Below are 20078 nucleotides of genomic sequence, written 5' to 3'. Positions count from 1 at the left end.
CCTGCCTCTGTGCCTTCCGATATCAACCGGGAAAGGAAAATCTAAAAATAAAGCCAGGGCCAGAGTGTGTACCACTCGATTGGGCTCCTGTGCTCACAGATCTGCTTATTTTGGCCTATCTCTCCCGAGCGATAAGGCTGCTAACAGCCTGTTATCAGCCAGTCGGTGAAAATGTGCTCCAGCCTGATTAGGCCTCAGTCTTTGCCAAGGTTATAAACAGCCGTTATCGTTTTCCCGAACAGAATAATCCGGACAGTATCAGCTCAGAAACATATGGGCCACACAGAGAAGATAGCCGCTGACGGACACTTCATTTTAATTGTAACGAGTGGGTAGCAGCAGCCTGCAGACAGCAGACAGAGAGCTGCCCGACTGGCAGTGGGGCTTTTTTTTTTTTTTTTTAATCTCTTCTTCCTTCCCTGGGTTCCAACGCCTAAGCTGCTTTGATATTCTGGGTGGCATAATGAAGTGGCCCCTCCCCCAGATGTTACCAGTCACCAACCATGACCCTTCCCTGCAAGGCAGATGGGACCCTTCTGATTCTCTTACGGTGGGGGGGTTTGAGGTGGGGGGGCACACAAAAACCAACAACCAGCAAAGGGGAACCACTACAGCTCTCCCTACTCTTCAGACAAAATTCAGTCTCAGTAACCTGTCCTGTCACCCCACCCTGCTCTCAGCCCCCACGGCCATGCTTCTTAAAGACCCTCGGCCTGTGAAGGCCACATTTCAGTGTCCGGCAGACGGCAGGCTTTCAGCACACGATGGCTGAATACTTACGAATGGGGCATTTATAGCACTTCCTTCAGCCTTCCACATGTACACATATACATCAGGCAAGATTAAGCTTGCAGGGAACAAGCCCACGCATGTGGGATTTTGTGTTCTGAAAGCAATTTCCAAAATCTCCGCTCTCCCAATGCTCTTTCATGAGATTCATTCCTCAGGCTTGACACAGAAAGCCAACTGACTGGTGTGAGGCAAGTAGGAAGGTAGACACGACAAAAAGAGAAAACTAGCCGGGCGCAGTGGCTCACGCCTGTAATCCCAGCACTTTGGGAGGCCAAGGCATGTGGATCACGAGGTCAGGAGATCGAGACCATCATGGCTAACATGGTGAAACCATGTCTCTATGAAAAATACAAAAAATTAGCCGGGCATGGTGGCGGGCGCCTGTAGTCCCAGCTACTCGGGAGGCTGAGGCAGGAGAATGGCGTGAACTTGGAAGGCAGAGCTTGCAGTGAGCCGAGATCGCGCCACTGCACTCCAGCATGGGCGACAGAGCAAGACTCTGTTTCAAAAAAAGAAAAGAGAAGACTGATGATTGAAGTTTTGGTGAAAGGGTCACCTGTCTGCTTCTGGGTCAGCAGAGGTCTTGGTTGCTGACAACTAGGCCCTGGTTCACTGCTGTTGGTACAAAGTCAGCAGCCACCCTGTTCTTTCATAGGGTGATGTATTTTCCCCCCTCAAATGTTACCATAAACAGAGTGGTAAGAAATGAGCAGAAGAAAAAAAGAGAAAGGGTTGACAGCAAGAAGGTACAAGATGAAGAGTGCATCTCTCCCTGCATTGAGCAGCAGATGCACTCTGTGTTGCCCCTATTGTTGCTAGACTAAGGTTCACGCCTGGCTGGCCAGATGGGGTCAACAACAGCAGGTGGGACTTGGAGGAAGGTAAGCCATCACGCCCTGCCTTGCACTTAGTCATCCCTGTTCATCCTTCTCATCAATATTCATGTTTCACAATATTTCAAATAATTAAATATCCTCAACTTGTTCTTCTTTTCCTGATCCTCTTCTCTATTTTACTCCCCTCTCTCCTCCTTAAACCCTCAAGGCTTTTCTCCGTTTTACCAAAGAAAGCCAGCACCGCCAGGCGTGGTGGTTCACACCTATAATCCCAGCACTTTGGGGGGCCAAGGCGGGCAGATCACCTGAGTTCGGGAGTTTGAGACCAGCCTGACCAACATGGAGAAACCCCGTCTCTACTAAAAATACAAAATTAGCCAGGTGTGGTGGTGCATGCCAGTATTCCCAGCTGCTTGGGAGGCTAAGGCAGGAGAATCGCTTGAACCCAGGAGGTGGAGGTTGCAGTGAGCCGAGATGACGCCATTGCACTCCAGCCTGGGCAACAAGAACAAAACTCCATCTCAAAAAACAAAAAGGAAAAAAAAGAAAAAAACCAGCACCTTCCACTGCCTGCCTACACGCTCAATATATTCAATGGCATTGAAGACATCCCCCAGTTTAAATTCAACATCTGGAGTCTTTCTTATAAGAAAGAAAAAAACTGAAAAGAGAAAATGGAAAAACGGTATATGAATCTAAAAGAAATTCCCTCTGATGTGTGATGCTGCTGCCTCCCTCTTCTTTTGACATCAGTTTCAAATTCTGCAGAGAAAGGATGATGTTGCTTTGCCCACGAAGAAACAGTCACAATAGGTAATACTCACTGAACACTGGTGTATGTGTCAGACACTGACCTAAGCATTCTACATAAATTTGCTCATTTAATTCTCAAAACAAGTCTATGATTCACACCCAGGTGGGCTGCTCACTGCTGCATCTATGCAATTCTAGGGACTCCTGGGCCTCACACCCAGGGAGCACCCTTTCCCAGCAGCCTGAAGAGGCCTGTGTCAGCTTGGCCACCCACCCCATCTCCATGCTTTCCTTCTGCAGATTAACAGGGACTGGATGCAGACAGCACTCCGGACCCGAGACGACTTCTGGTATTTCACTGTCAAGTGAAAATTGAGTCCGTGGTAATGTTCCTGCAATAATATCAAATTCAAAAGGGAAAGATGACGGAAATTCTGCTGCCAGCTGAAAGGAGCCTGAGGCACATTTTTGTTTTAATTCTTTTTTTCATGGCTTTTCAACACCTGCCTTCGCTCTTCCACTTTCCCAACAAAATATAGTTTAGGTTGCCTTGCAGTATTAATAAGAGACTGGCCAGCAGACCTATGCAAGAAATTGCAGTGGGTGGTCTGCGTGAAATGTCTTGGTGGTCTTAAACTCGGTCCTCTGACAAAGTTCAAGGTTACAGTGGTCTTTCCCGAGTTGCCATCAGAATCTGAAAATATCCTGGAAACATGAGAATCCCCCGCTGAACTCATGAGTTGGCTCAGCAGTTGTTTATTCAACTTAAAGTGTTTTTCCCCCTTTTTCTATTTTTGTTTTCTTATGCTTTCTGTTTCAATGGACCCAGCTTTGTCCTTGCACAATTTCGAGTGAACAAGACTAGAGGATTTCCTGAAATAAGCAACTGGGCCTATTTCTCCAGCGGTCCTGCTTCCCATTTTGTCCATGGCCACCTTCTGCTGATCAGCTTCCACTTTCTTAGAAAGAAGACTAGCTTGCTCAGAGTTACACAACAGAGACAAATGGAGCCTTGAGAGTAGCAGATAGACAAAAGTGACCAACAAAGTTAGGTGTGCTGCAGCCTTCCTGTGTCTGCCACGTCACTGACATTATGAAGTAGCAGGCCCCATGAGTACCGTGACTACTTCTCAGAGTATCTATGGCACCACTGCCATCGCTGATTTGCTGGGGTGTCTCCGCGGCTGTGTGTACACCTCAAGGACTAGGACACTGTCTTCCTCTAGTCAGTATCCCCAGCACCTACCATGGTACCTGGCATACAGTCAGCACTCAATAAGTAGTGCTTAAAATGAAGAAACAGATTCAGTGCAAACCTGCTCAAATGGGTGTTCAAGGCCAAGTATTTTGGAGATAGCCTAGATTCAAACTTGGCATTTTCTAACTTTGTCTTGGTTACTTCTTTAGCCTCAGTTTCCTTATCCCTAAAATGGGTATAATATAATCACAGTACCTGTGCCATATATTTGTTGTAAAGATTGTATATGTTGATGGATGCAGCCGGAGGCCATTATCCTAAGTGATTTAACGCAGAAACAAAAAATCAAATACTGCACATTCACACTTACAAGTGGGAGCTAAACAATGGGTATACATGAACGTAAAGATGGCAACAATAGATACTGGGGTTTCCAAAAAGGAGGAGGGAGGGAAAGGGCAAGGGCTGAAAAACACTCTCTTGAGTGCTGTGTTCATTATTTGGGTGAGGGATTCAATAGAAGCCCAAACCCCAGCATTATATAATATGCCTATGTTAACAAACCTGCATATGTACCCCCCTGAAACTAAATTAAAAGAAAAGAAAATATTTTTTTTAAAAAAAGACTATATATGTGTAAAGCACTTAGCCCAGCTCCTGACACATAACAGTCATCTGATAAATATTTCTTACTTAGGAATGACCATCTCTCACTCATCTCTATCTGCCCCTTACACAGCTACTACAGTAGTCAACCTCTCTTACCAAAGAAAAGGCTGCGTGCAGTCCAGGAACTCTGGTTCCTATCCCTGCTTTACTAGGATTCCAGCAGTCACTTAGTCACTCTGCCTCGCTCTGCTTCTGTGGCCTGCATCAGGCTGAGGTCACTCGGCCTCACCTAACTGACTTGCAGGTTGGCTACGAGACAGCATGGCCTACCAGATGGGGACAGGTGTGGAAAAGCAAAATCCAGGCCATCAAATCTGCTGTAAGTCATGCTCCGGCAAAGCCACTTGAAGTCTAGCCTGCCATGGACCTTGCTGCATGCCTCAGGGTGCCTCAGCTCTCTCGGGCTCTGCCAATGCTCTTGCCTTAATGCAGGGCTTCTAATCAAGATAGCGCAATCGAAAGCATTTGCTTGGTTCTTAGTCCTCACAGTGATCTCTATTTAGTGGGAAATTAAACCACTTTAAGGGGCTAACACCCAGACAACCTATAATGCCATTTCACTCAGACAAGGCTTCCCCATCTGGGAGCAGCACGTTTTCTTTCCTCTTCCTCCCACTGTCCCTCCAGTCTCCTGGGTTTTTATCTTCCTTTCCTTTTCTTTTCCCTTTTCCCAAAAAGGGTGTCTTGGCTTGGCGACTCTTAAACCCAGCTGCATTCCCGAGACAAGCTCTTAAGCATAAATTCATTCCAGCATTGGGTTCTTCTTATTCTCTTTCCTTCCTCTCACTATGTAGCTGGAGTGAATTCATAAACAGTTACAGTGGTTTTAGCACCAGGGCCTTGTATGAGACAGGATTACAGGGGATTCAGCACTTTCTCTCTCTCTCTCTCTCTCTCTCTCTCTCTCTCTCTCACACACACACACACACACACACACCTCAGTGGTGTTAGTCTCATTAGCCACAATACTGTTCTAATCTCTCCCATCTCTAGATTTGCCCTACCCCTGGCTTACTCAGTGCTCTCCTTCCTGGCCTCCTGTGGAAATACTGCCAAATAAAATAACAAAATATTCATATGGTAAGGCACGTTAAAACCTTGGGAAGATTTAAGCCAGGGCTTCATGTCACAGACGCTCCCTCCCATAATCTGTATTCCAATCTCGATGCCAGCGGAGCTGTGATCAGAATATCCAAGGTCTCATAAAAGATTCAGGGCTTACTGACTTCCCTGACATTTGCTGTTTCATGTTGTTCCTGCTCACTCCCTTTCAGCCTCCAGAGCCCACAGTCCCTTTCAACTCACCACTACAGATGGCAAACTGGCCAAGACCATCCACTAACTCAGGACAAACACAGGTCCTAAATCTTCCCTGGGAATTTAGCTGGGACTAGGAAGGGGTTTTCAGTTCTTTCAGTGGCTTCTTTTGTTTGACTAAAGGTTTATTTTTCTGTAATTGCATGCCTGCTGCCTCATCCATGGTACCTGGAAGTGGGACTTTGAAACCCAGGAAGTTAACAAGACTTCAGCAAGATTCCCCCACTTAGCTATGAGTGCTTTTGAGGGTAGGGTTATGTGTGCCTGACTCAGACTGTTTAAATCTTCCTGGTTCTCACTGTTACTTAAATTAGAGACTGTGTTATTTAACCTTGTAAAGCACCAAGGCTATAATTTGTAGAGAAGACAGTTCACCAAATAGGGGCTATGCATATTGTCATATGTTCAAAAAAAGGTATATCATATATATGTGACTGCATGAATCCAGGCAGGACACAGCTATCATACATATCACCATACTAGAATGGACATTAGTAGTTTAAAAACTCTAACAAGATATATTATGATTTAAGGAAACCGTGCATAACTAAAGGGGTGATTGTGAATAGATCTTATGACTTACTAGGAGGATTACAATGGATATCCTAGCCAGACTCCACTAGTGGATTCTAATATGATTTGCTTTCCAATCATATAATTCATGCACAGCTTATCAGAAAGACATTTAGTGAATAAAGGAAGTCACACCATACTTCTTAAGGCATGGTCTAAAAGGAAACACAAAAGGAAACCTCTGCCCTGCCTACAGAAGTTTCCAGAGGAGCCCAGTGACCCACAGAGATGGCAAGAAGAGGTGAAAAGACACACAGTATATGGCTAACACCGCTCAGCCATCAGAGGTCATAGGGGCAAAAGAGAATGGTAGTTCCACTGAATAACAGAATTGAGACATTTTCAAGATACTCCTTAGTAAGTCACAAGTGTCTAGATTTTTTTTATATCAACCATAGAATTCCAAAACTCAGCAATCAAAAACCAAAAGGCCAATTACAATTTAAGTCCTTTTGAAAACATTTTAGCTTATTTCTGTAAATGCTATGGCCACTAGACAAATTAACACAGAATTCCAGATCAAAGTGCCATTCACACATAGGTACTTGAATAACATCAGGCAGCATGAAGGTGAACAGGTGCTATAAACAACTTATTTGAATGTTTTAAATGTATCTACCATGAAAACCTTCTGAAGAGGTTAAGGAATTCTAGAATACAAATTGAAAATTAAAGGCAAGTTGATGGTACCTCAAAATTGAACTTGTCAAATGAGAAAATTATAATCAAAATTGTCTTCATACTTTTCATATCCTTCACTGTGTTAGTCACATAATATATACATATACATGTTTCTGCATATGCATGTGAAAAATCAAAAAGGCAAACACATATCAGTGGCTAATCATAACATAATATAAAAAGAATATGAGGTCTGGTTTCATAAGTGATTATATCCATAAACACATGTCCTGAGGCTTAAGTAAGCAAGCAAGGCATCTCCTTCCACATAGTGATATGATCCCCAAAATTTATATGAAAAATTTTAAAGATTGAGCTATGTTACATTCTTTGGGGGAAACACCTTATTTAAAAGCAGTCAACAGTCAGATATTTCTGCAAGTAAATAATCCTGTAATTCATCTTGTTTAGTAACAATATATTTTTTAATTACCAAACACAACCTATATTATTTATTTACAGTAAAATGTATTTTCCCCAGACATATTATAATACTGTATAGATGAATGGTTCTCAACTGGGTATAATTTTGCCTCCCAGGAGACATCTGGCAATGTCTGGAGACATTTTTGGTTCTCACAATGGGGGAGTGGGGATGCTGCTGGCATCTATGGGTGGAAGCCAGGAATGCAGCTAAACAGCTTACGGTACACAGGGCAGCCCCCATAATGAAGGATCATCTGGCCTCAAAAAGTCAATAGTGCTGAGGTTGAGAAACCTTTTTATAGATTATCACAAATGTTACAAAATTTCTCAAATGATTTCCCTCAAAACCTTTAAGAAATGAAAAATGAGAAGTTGGGGAAAACAAGAACTCCTTTTGGTAGTATTTTGATTATCAAAGTTATAGTTGCTTTTGTGAATGCAACAATATATTACTTCACCATAAAATATGCTCTTAAAACCTAACACTTGTACTTGCATTATACCCACACACTGAGAAATGCTGGAAAATCAGCAAGGATTTTAGGAAAAAACATCTACCTGAGACATCCTTCAATGAACAGAGGAATACCCTGACCAACTGTGTTAAAAGCAAATAAAGTAAGATATAACGAAAGCTAACTTTTTAGCCAGTGAAAAATAAACACATCTGGTACATAGAGTCCTATGTGTGTGTATCCATCCAATTCTATAGTATCAGAGCTCTGACATTCAGTAATATAATAATATTATTTTTGAGATCAGTTAAGGTATAAAATGTGCGTACTCTCAGTCTTTAATATTAATAAGTCTTGTAACTAGCAGTTTCTCATAGCTCCGAATTCTTGAGCACAACTACAAAGGGCACTTATCCTGAAAAATCTAATAAATTTACAGTTTTATATACTTCCTTCAATTGTAAAAGTCTTGTTCAATAAACTTTAAAATGCCACTATAGAGCAATAACACAGACAGTATAAACCCAGCCCTGGGAAAGCTGTGCAACCAGAAATTGTTCCCCTTTCTGCTAGAGCAATAAAGTTTTATATGTTTGAACTGACTGTAAAAAGGTTTGAATGTTGGCAACTGGGGAATAATCTGTCTTCTTTATAGTTATTATCATATTTCCCACAAGACCCCTTGGTCTGTGTCAATCCTTCTTGTATATGACACCTTTGTACTGTCAGCGAAAGCAAGACTACTTTACTTTTTTTTTAACTATAGGACTTGTATCTGTTTTCCTTCAGATTACAGCTAACAGGAATAAATTATTTCTGACAAGCATCTATTGCAGCATTTTACCAAATAAAGCTGGTTGTGAGCTGCTTTTCCAAGAGAGGGAGGGACCTCCTCCCTTCTCCTTCCCTCTCTTTCTCTCATCTGATTCAAATGCAATTCAGGGCTGGTTAAATTGGAGGAAATGCCAATAAAAAGAGATTTGTAGGGAAGTTGCTCTGAATGCCAGACCCCATTCAACATGGTGGTTCGGTTCTCATGGGTGCAATTGGATGTGTGGAGAAGGGACTTAGGAAAAGGTAGGAGGAGGAATCATCCCTTTCCCTTCCTGACCTCTCTTAGATCTGAGAACATCTCTGCATGCACCTGGATTCAGGCAGCACACGGAGTCCAGCCAGTAGAAATGGCCAGAGTTTCTCATATTCTGATTAACAGCCAGTGACGGAAGCGGTAGCTATGACCAGCAGGGGCAGACACCCAAGCTGTCACATGTACGCCTGGGCTGTTGGCTAACTGGTCGTCTCAGCTGAAATGAGTTCAGGCTCGTGGTAATGAGCAGGGAGCCATTTTGTACATATGTGTTTGTGTCCCTCTGCCAGGCCTGTCATGCCACAGATCAACAATACATGGACCTATACCCAGTAATCCATTACACATAAGGCAGCCATATGAACTAAATATATTCTCCTCTCACTCACAATGCTACAGCACCATCCTGAAGTTGCTCGGCTTTCCACCTTTTAGAATAACAAGAAAAAGGCACAGAAGATAAGAACAGATTTTTGTAGCCCAGCATGGAGGTATACACCTATGGTCCCATCTACTTGGGATGCTGAGGCAGCAGGATCACTCCAGCCCAAGAATTCTGGGCTGTAGTGCGCTATGCCAATTGGGTGTCCACACTCAGTTTGATGTCAATATGATCACCTCTTGGGAGCAGAGAACCACTAGGTTGCCTAAGGAGGGGTGAACCAGCCCAGGTCAGACACAGAGCAGTCTGTGTTGACCAATGGTGGGATCGAGCCTGTGAATAGCTACAGCACTCTTGCCTGACAACATAGTGAGACCTTGTCTCTCTCTTTTTTTTTAATAATAGACATTTGCAAACATCAGGTTTTCAAAAATCCAAAGATATATATGGTTGGATATCAGTGGAGCTGGCACCATAAGTTAATTACCTCTGCACTCCAGAATAGACAAAGTATCTCCAAAAGACCATGAGAGTAAGATGATGAGTCATAATGAATATAGGCATATGCAGATACACACAGACCTACACAATGTCAACGAGAAGAAGAATTTTCCTCCTCATCCTATAGACACTTAACAGACCTGAAGGGACGGTCCTGGCATTTCCCTTTTAGACAAAGAAGTGATTTCCCCCTCTGTCCTCTCCATCCCCCAACCACCTCCCCCTTTCATTTTCATAGTGCTTTAGAAAAGGGCTGATATTTCCTGCACTGCATTCACTCTACCTGCCACTGTAGAAGCACACAGTCAAGCACATGCGTGACACCCTGTTCATGGGGGTAGGGTGATTCTTAGATTATGGTGTATCTGTACAAGTGCACACACTCACTCACACTGAAGCCCACCTTGGTCAACTCAAAATGAAGAGTCAACTCCAATATGAAAGCTCTGATGTGGAAGGGTAAATGCCAAATGATGTCTATAAACATAGCAGTTCTACCAGAATGAGGTAATGCAAATAAGGCTGAGTCAATACAATGACATCTCAGTGACTTTGGAAAAAGCTTGAGCCCATGCCCATGAATGTGAGCTCAGGGTATCCTCTTATTTTCTCCTCACTAAACCCTACATGAATGTTCAGGTGCACATTATGATGCCTTCTCCATGCCCAGTTCAGGCAACAAACATTTTAATCTATATATGGAGAACATTAAAAAAAAAACCTCATCGTGGTAATTGTCTCATACTGCCAGCCAGGGCAAGGCACACTGTGCTCCCTCCTGCTCTTCTCCGCAACCCCCAGAACGGAATTACTATACAAGCTATACCTTTTAACAAAGGTGTACTCATGTGCACCTTAAAAGTTCTTAAATAGCAGCTGCCCACTGGAAAAACATATGTCTGTAAGAGATTTTTATTCTCTCCATGTCCCCTTCATGCACTTTGTCTATGTGGTTAAAGTTTACAAATTATTTACTTTTCAGTAGGTTTTTAATATAGACCAAAAGGTTGTGGGTCTCAGTCATATGTCACAGTACCACTAATAAAAGCAATATCGGTGCTATTATAAAAAACTTTCTGAACACATAATACAGAGATAGAAAATGACACAAATCATAAGTACAGAGCTCGGTCAAAAAATACAAAATGCTTTAAAAATGTGCACAATCAGTCTTGTGCAGGACCCATGTGCTGATGAAGTGAGGGCATTGGTGGCATTTTAATTACTCTTGAATAGTAGTGAGTTATCACCTTTAAGACCAGTAACTAGACCATCACCACAGGGGAGTGGGAGAGAGTGTGAAGGAAGAGGTAGTTTCTAATAAGTGACGTAAGTACCACAGGCATGGGATTCATTGACAGTGTTTGTGAAATACAGATTCCTAGACTCCTATCAAATTTGCTGGGGCAAGGCCTGTGAATCTGCATTTCATAAACACCCACACCCGCAGGGGTATTCTTGGAATTACTGAGCTTGGCTAATGAAGTACAACAGCAATTCCCCTGCTGAACCCCATCACACTTTCTTTTCTGAAACTGGAGTGGCACTGCCCTGACTTGCCCAGGCCTCAGGCATATCCATATCTGAGATAACAATTGGTGAAGTTCAAAAAATGGCATTGTGTTTCAACACAGAAAAGAAAAAGGTTTAGAAAAATAACAGATCAACAAGAAAGTACTATCCTGGAAGCTCTGCCTCATTCTAACTTTCCCCTGAACTCTGCTTTCTACATATCTTACCACTCTATGTATCCTAGCAGGGGAAAAAAAAATGCAAAAAGGCAAAGAGTCTCCTGAAAAGATTAGGAGTTGGAGCTTTACCTTATTATCTGACACGCATATATTGTTTCATTACTAACAGAAATAATGATAATACTTGGCTATTTGCGTAATGTTTTAGAGGCTACCACACTTTCATAGGCATGATTATGTTTAGTCTTGCTAATGAATTTATGAAGTGTTATTATTCTCATGTTACAGATGAAGAAACTAACACCCAGAGAGGTTCAATGACATGCTCAAGGCCACACAGCAGGCAACTGTCAGAGGCAGATGGGAGTCCATATCAGCTAAGTGGCAATATACAGGGCTGGCCACCACCAAAACACAAAGATGGGTGAAAAAAGTCATAGAAACCCAACACAAGGGAAAAGCACCTTGTTCACTGAAACTGGCAAACCTTCAGTTTAATTCACCTACCTCATCCAGGAGAGTTGGGTCCCCTTCCATCATCCTATCTGCTGCAGGGTCTCCACCTGACACGATCACCTTTATTATTACCTCTGTACCATGCACTGTAACTAGACCATGAGGTAATAAAGATGATCACTGTCTGCTCCCGTGTCCCCCAACCTAGAGCAAAGCCACCACATTCTGGTCAGTGGTAAACAGCTAGTATTTGCTACGAAGAGTAGCAAGAAACCTTCGGGTGCCACTAAGAGAATCAAGTAACATGAATCTCCTCCCCTACGTAACCAAAGCACTTCTCTTAAGTCTCCAATGGAGAAATAACAGAACCTCACGCTCCCTTGATGTGCCTTCCTTGGCTTCTCCATAACCCAGCAATCCTGGCACATTCTGTCTCACACAGCCACGGGAGTCCCGTGTCCCTCAGGAGCTGCCAAGCTCTCTGATGTACAGGCTGCTAATACAGTGTTATTAAGAATGCGTTTGCCTCCACTCCTCTACACACGCTGGCTTCCCTGCCTGAAGAAAAGCCACACACATGCTCCCACAGAGGGACCCAGCGAAAAGCCCTGGAACCCACAAAGGGAAATCAGCATGCCAAGGGTTAAGCACACCCTGTAATAAGCATCTCTGTTCCGGCATGTTGCGAAAGCCCATTACCTCCCGCCACATTACCTCATTCATTTCTTATATGCGGATGGTTTATTTTCCCATGAGCACCCTGGCTCTCAGTATTAAGTCCCCTCCTTCGCCTCTATTTCTCTATCCATCACATTTAACACTCTGACAGTAACAGTCTATAATGTTTCTATTCTACAAAACCGCTCTGTCAACTCCGGGCTTCCAGAGCAGCAACTGAGGAAAATAAATAACATCAACGCCAGGGACGACAGCATCACAGCTCCCTTTCTGCTGGGCTTTTTTATATTATTCTACAAAGTGAGAAAGAATAAAGGGGATGGGGAGAGGTGGGAGCAACGAGAAGAAGAATTTTCCTCCACATCCTATAGACACTTAACAGACCTGAAGGGACAGTCCTGGCATTTCCCTTTTAGACAAAGAAGTGATTTCCCCTCCGTCCTCTCCATCCCCTGACCACCTCCCCCTTTCATCTTCATAGTGCTTTAGAAAAGGGCTGATATTTCCTGCACTGCACTCGCTCTACCTGCCACTGTAGAGGCACAGTCAAGCACATGTGTGACACCCTGTTCATGCGGTAGAGTGATTATTAGATTATGGTCATCTTTTCTGGAGCAGGAGTCCAGTGAGGAGGTGGAGGTACTTTGGGGATCCACAATCTTTGTTCTCGGGGAGACACCAGGCAACAGAGACTCTGGAACCCACGAGCAGGTAGAAAGGCACAAAAACGTTAACTACTGAAAAATAAATCACTTTTGAAAGCTTGGCTCCCTGTTACTGGAGCTTTACCAAAACTATTTGTATTTTCATCATTTTCGATAGTAATCTTCTAAAACATGTTATATTTCCATCTAGCTTCTTTTAAAAAATATCTAGGTAGATAGATAGAGAGGGATCTTGGACATTATTTGGCCTCCTCTTTGTGACCCACGTCATTTATCATTAGGAATGCTGATGATCACCCAGGCCCGCTGCTATGTGAGAGCACGCATGCCTATTCTGTATAGACTCAGTCTGCTGGTCTTTTTAAATTCTTGAGTCTCCTTTTTATGATTTTACTGCTTCTTTAAGTTTCCCCCTCTTCTGAGGTTGTAGTGCTATAGCTGATAGCATGGGCTGTGGTTCCAGATCATGGAAGCCAGACCTGACTACTGGCTTGGGACCTTGTTTCAAAACCCCCCTGTGCTCTGTCCTCACATGTAAAATGGAGGCAGTTGTGGTACCTCGTGTTCTAGTGTGGTTGTGAGGATTACCTGAGTGAATGCTTGAGAGTATTTAGGAGAGTGTCTCAGTTAGTAAGTACTTAGTAAATGTTAGAGATTATCATGTATATAGTCTGGCACAGGCTAGGAAGCCAGATAAACATACAATTAGAATCATATTTGAAATCAGAGGTCTTGAGTGGTGGCTTTTGGGCGCTCTGATGAGTCAACTGCACAAACTTAAGTACATGGGCCCTTAGTTTGGCTACACAGATATCCTCTGCTAGCATCCTGGCTCTCAGCTACTTCAGATGCGGGAGGCTGGCAACATTGAGTCCTGAATGCCGAGATGTAAATCAAGAGACTAACTCAGGATAAGAAAAAAATGAGGGAACAGGGAACAAAATAAGAAAAACAGCTAAAAATTTCTCACTCAACACCGTCAAACACAATTCTGTAATTCCTTCTGTTCAACCCCACAAGGCTGTTTCTCAAAGAATGAGAACTACAATGTACGAAATTGCTTTGATATGTATGAAACACTCTGTGCTTATTATTTATACCAGTAAGACCATTATTATTACTCAACTTTGTATCGTAAAGCAGTCAAAATGAACTTCTAAATCTAACGGCATTCAGAGGTAGGAGTCTTGCTCTCACCCTCTACTGCTACCCGAGGGACCGTGGTATTTCTTTTTTCTATCTCAGGTGTGGCAGAATGGAAAAAAAACATACTGAGGTCCCAACCCTCTTAACAATCGGTGCCCTGGGAGATACAGGCACTTTAATTTCCCAGACCCGCTTCTCCCTTCCTAAAAAAGAGAAGAGCCCGACACTAGAAAATCCAAGTCGCTTACCACAAAGCTTCAGAATAATGCCTGCATTCCAACCAAAGGGGTAAGTGAGACAAAAAGTTAAGACCAACTGGGATCTAGCATGTCTGATACCTGGAGGCAAGGAGGAACTGGTTCCTGATACGTCTCTTCTTGTCTAGTTCAATTCCAAATATCACAAACAATCTAAACCACTGAGGCAAAGAACACTTCTGCTTTTATGACTTTTCTTTGGTCGGGGGAGGTGATGTGAAGACCACAATCAGGCTAAGTGATATTATATCCTTATTTTAAATGATAATATTTCATTACTGCTATTCGTAGTACTCTGTGACAGTTTAATTTTCCTATTTTGATGATGGAAAAGTAAAGGTGACCTCAAGGCACCAAGTGGCTAAAGATGTCCCCCTAGGGAAGGCATGAGCCTTTCAAATAATTTCTTTGCAACAAATTAACATTGAGACTTCCTGTGTATAAAGGAATTGAATGCAAAAATACATAGGTAAACACAGTTTTTGTTTTTAAAAGTTTATAATTTAGTGAAGAGAAGGGGACGTATAAAAATGATTAAAATTAAGGGTTGAATAAAGGGTTGACATAGAATAGAAAAGGGCTAATTAAAGTTTCAGGAATTTTGTTATAGGAGCATGGTAGAAGAGGTGATTAATCTGAAAGAGGGTCTTACTAGAGATTTCACATTTTCATAGAAAGGGTGACATTTGGGAAGCTGCCGTGCTTTCAGTTATTAAAGGCTCAGATTCTGCAGTCATTCAACCTAGGTTCTAATCCCTGCTCTGCCAATTCCTAGTCAGGTAACAGGGCAAATTATTTAATCCCTCTACTGGTCAGTGTAACAGGGACAATGAAAATACATACTTTATAGATTTTGCAGGGAGGATTAAACGAGATAATGAATGTAAAATAGCAGTGCTTAGTAACTAATCCCTAAATTAATATTAGCTATTATTATTTTAATCTTTCACCAAACCCCATGAAGTAGGTGATATTATCCCCACTTGCAGTATTGAGAAGACGGACATATGAAAATTAGGTAACCTGCTAATGTCACAAAATAGACAAAGGATATAGAACACAAATTTGGGTCAGTCTGACTCCAAAACCCAAATTCTTTTCCACTATAATTTTATTCTGGTCCACTGTCACTCAATAAACTCTGACCTCCTACCAGAAAGAGGTCACTGGAACTAGTGAGCTCAGCCTAGGGACAGCCTGAAAACAGAGTATGATTCTAACAGATACAGCGCTATCCTATGAAAGTCAGAGACAAAGCCAAAAGGAAAGTCAACAATTATACAGAAGTTATCACAACATTCAGTGAAACTCAAAAGATCTACCACAATCTGAAATGAAGAAAACTCTACCTGGCATCCAAATCCCCTCCCTTCCCTGATTTCCTTATTCCTATTAATTAATGCCAAACCCATTCTCTCAGGTAACAAATCAGAGAACTTACAAAGATAAACACATAGACAGACATGGGAGATATCTTAGAGTCTAGTCCAAACTTGCATACGATGCAGCAAACTCTACGACAATCCTGGCAAAGCCTTATTTCCGAGTTACATGACAAAGCCAGCATCTGTGACCACACCCTCCAGCCATATGCCTAACAGTTTTCATTGTACTGAGTCATATCCCACCTCAAACTTTCTGTGGAATCCAAATAAATAAATGAATTAAATGATTCCATCATCTTCAATTCATACCTTTCCTTCAACTTCCATATCTAGGTGGTTACCAGGCTCTGTCATTCTTTTTTTCAAAAACTTTTTGAAAAAAGTGTGATCTTTTTCATTCCCAAGATAGCAGATCCCAGATCCTTTTGTCTCCTGGCTGAAATCTGTTTCTTCACTCTCTCTACACTCTAGTACATCCGGCACATTTTTACCAGATGAGAAGTCCTTCAATCTAATTTCAGAACATGTCATCTATGCTCAAATAACGACTGGGTCTCCATTTATTACTCCCAGCTAGACATTCAATGACAGACTATCAATGGCAAGCACATGGGCCTCACTTTGCCTACTCTATCCTACTTCCTGTATTTTCCAATCAATGCACACCTTCCAACTTGGTCTAAACCACCATTTCATAGGGAAGTCCTACAAACAGACCATACACATAGAAACTGAGATAGATATAAGTTTTGTGTAACATGTCAAGGGCCACAGAATCATTATAGACGAGCTAGGACTAGCTGCTCAAACTCCCTGTCCAGGGCTCTCTCGCTTTTATCTATTAAGTTATGATGTGGTACTAAAGTTGCCTGATTCTGAAGAATGTTGGGACCAGTGGATAAGATTACAGAGCACCTACCATATGTTCAGCCATGTACTAAAAATTGGGAGAAGAACATGAAAAGGCATTAACTTACAGTCCAACGGGGAAACGAACATGCTAAAAACACCATGTAATTATTATAAGCTACAATGAAGGAATATACAAGGCAAAGTGGATACAAAGGAAGAGGAATATCTAGAACTGGGTCAGGATACTCAGGCAAGGCCTCAGCCAGGATCTGAATGATCAGTAAGAGTGTTTTAGGGGATAACAGGTACAAGAAATCGCTAGTAGGAGACAATCTTCAAAGGTATAAGAAAGAAGTGGCAGGTTTTAGGTATTACAGGTAACTCAGTATATTTGTAGCATATGATGAGATAGAAAAAAATGGTGAGAAATAGCCCTGGTGAAGTAGGCAAGGACTAGATCACAAGGTTCATGTAGGTTATGCAAAGGAGTTTAGATTTCATCCTACAGACCAAAATGAATAATTCTCAGCAGACTGTAATGCCACTCTTTCTCTTCCACTAAAGAAAGCATATGGGAATTCAAGTGAGCGAAAGTGACATTTATATGGTGATAATTTGACTTAGCTTAAAATTTTAAATAATTTGCAAACCTTAGGTCTTGAACCATTATTAATATCAAAATTACTTGTGACATACTTCACAACTGATCATGGCACAACAGTTTTGAGATTCAGGACTGCAGCTTTTGACAATGGGACCTCCATCAAAGAATTTTGAATAAGGGTATAGCAAGCAGGTTAGCATGTTAAGAGTCTCCTGGCAGGCCTCAGATGCGATGGGCTGCTTAAGGATATTACAGGCAGAGACACCAGTCAAGAGGTCAATACTGCTGAATGGGTGAAAGATAGTGAGTGCCTGACTTAGGATGACAGCAGATGGGAAGAAGGAGAAATGAGAAATAGTTAGAATGTGTTTAGTTTTATAAGTCTTGGCATAAAGTGTTCATTAAATGCTTGCTGGTAGTATCAACACAAATTGGCTAATGATTAGATGAAGGTAGTGGGAGGTGACATAGAAAAAGGTTAAAGTCTGATACAAATATTAGGTTTCTAGATTGGGCAGATAAAAGACGGAATACAGGAGGAAGACTTGTTGTGGATGGGGATTGATGAGGTCTGCTCTGGATTTATAAATCTGCTGAACATGGATATAGAGATGCTTGCCGGGCAGTTATATGTGTAGATCTGAAACTCACAAAAGCAATCTGGGCTAAACATATAGGTTTTACTTTACCATTTGTTCAATAAATACTTACTGGATACTTGTTTTAGTCCAGACATTGTACTCCTCACTGGGGATGCAGCGGTTGACAAAGAAGATAAGTCCTCTGTCCTCAGTGAGATCACAGATGGATATATTTGTGAGCCATAGGTATTTAGTTGATAAATGCAGGCATACGAATACTTAGTGATGGGCTGAGGAGGCAACATTGAAGTTAACTAAGGAGGCCCAACCAAAGAGATATGAAGCAAACCAAGAGAATACAGAGATGAAGAAATGAGAATTTTATAATAGAAAGGTTGTCAGGATCAAATACAGCAAGAGTGTAGAATAAGGACTGAATTTGTCCACTGGGTGATTTCATAATCTGCAGGGGCAGAAATCTGACTTCAGCAAAGAAAACAAAGCACTCTAGAAGTTAATTGAAAAAAAAAGCTAGAAATCTTAGAATCACTAGTCTCTCTAGTTCTGTGACATCTGAGATAATCCTAAAGGTTTCATGGAGGTGGGACCTGGGTTAGGAGGTACAGAAGATACAGAGGACACTTTTAGACAACATCAAAACAGAATATGGCCCATAGAAGGAACCAGACTGGGAGAGCACTTTCACAACTCTTGTGAAAGGCAATCTTGGGCATAAGGTGCCTATGATTAGCTGCACGTTGTGAAAAGGCAGACGTCATGGTGTTCAGAGCAGCAAATTACCTTCCAGGAGTCTATGGACAGATCTGTTCTTCATTGGCTACATGATACTCAGGAAAAGCCCTTGCTATGTATGAACTCACTGGACCTGGAGAGCAAAAGTGTGTGAAGGCTGCAGATGGAATAACAGATATGCTAGATGACAGCACACTAGAACAGCCAATGACACAGGTGCTACCTCTGCTCTGCCAAGTAAGGCAGCTCTAGGTAGCTCCCCTGCCGATGGAAAATGGTGGGGAGTGTCAGGTGTGGTAGGAAAGAAGGGGGAGCTGTGAAGCAACTGAAGCAGTATAAACACCTATAGAATAGTGGGGACCCTACCTAAAGCATGCCATAAAAATGTCATACTTTGCTCTCAAGAACGTAAGTCGCACTGTCCTAAATTTACAAGATCAACAACTTTTGGTGCTTTCAGTGCCTGATTTGTTCTTCGGCCCTTCCAGGTATTATAATAATTGTAATAGCTCCCTCATTCCTCAGCAGGCACCCTGTGTATCTCAGGGCCACCCTGAAAACCAGGCAAAGGCCATCTGCTTCACACTTCCTCCCTTCTGCAACAGCGAGCATGAACCACAGGGCCAGTTCAGAGACAGCTCATCTTGTACATCCAAACTCTGCTCTGCTCTGCTGTTGCTTGTAGTTTAAATCTGCTGTGTTACAGTGGCAGTGGGGAGAAGAACCCTGAGCTTCCAACTCTTTCTTCCTGCAGAGGCCTGTGGGGCACACACAGTGACCTTGGCGAACAGTGGTCTCAGGGAAGGTCCCAACCACATAGCCATAAACCTCTCTGGGGATTAGCACAGTTGGGACAATGTTCACAGAAGCCATATGCTGTGGTAGAAAGAACCCAATCTGGGCTAGTCTTGCCTCTACAACTTACTAACTCTATGATCTTAGGTAAGTTATTTACATTCTTCGATTCCCTTTCATGAAATTAGAACCTAGTAAAACTGTGCAGCCCATTTAAAGGGCGACTGTGAAGACTGGGTAAGCTAATGCTCCAGAAAATTTCTTTGATTTTAATATTATTTTTGAGTAGTTAATGCATTTACAATATAAAAAATACATCTACAATATACATTATGATCACCATACATTGCCAAGTCTTGCTCCCACCCTTGTTTGGCCCTGTTAACCCTATTCCCCACGCTCACACCTGGCCTCTACTGATAACCATTTTTCTTCATTTCTTGCTTATCTTTCCAGCATTTCTTGAAAGGGTTACTTTAAATATAAAGTGCTGCATAACTTAGTTATCATTATTATAATTGAAAAGCAGGAGGGGAGGGAGTGGT

At 42.2% G+C, this 20078-nt stretch overlaps 1 protein-coding gene across 11 annotated transcripts in view, besides 1 other annotated feature; it reads right to left on the bottom strand.

The window, feature by feature from the left end:
• Positions 1-20078, bottom strand: part of PBX1 (PBX homeobox 1) — a 326864-nt gene that overhangs the window by 173468 nt on the left and 133318 nt on the right. The gene's annotated exons all lie outside the window — the stretch shown is intronic.
• Positions 11994-13225: an enhancer, noted in NCBI's record as "VISTA enhancer hs1144". NCBI's record gives its function as "enhancer in: heart[5/12]" and the evidence as "EXISTENCE:transgenic organism evidence [ECO:0001131][PMID:17130149]".

This window comes from Homo sapiens, chromosome 1 (assembly GCF_000001405.40).
Source record: "Homo sapiens chromosome 1, GRCh38.p14 Primary Assembly".
Taxonomy (NCBI): domain Eukaryota; kingdom Metazoa; phylum Chordata; class Mammalia; order Primates; family Hominidae; genus Homo; species Homo sapiens.
Note: the sequence above shows the minus strand (reverse complement) of the source record. Positions and strands in the feature narration are given on the sequence as shown.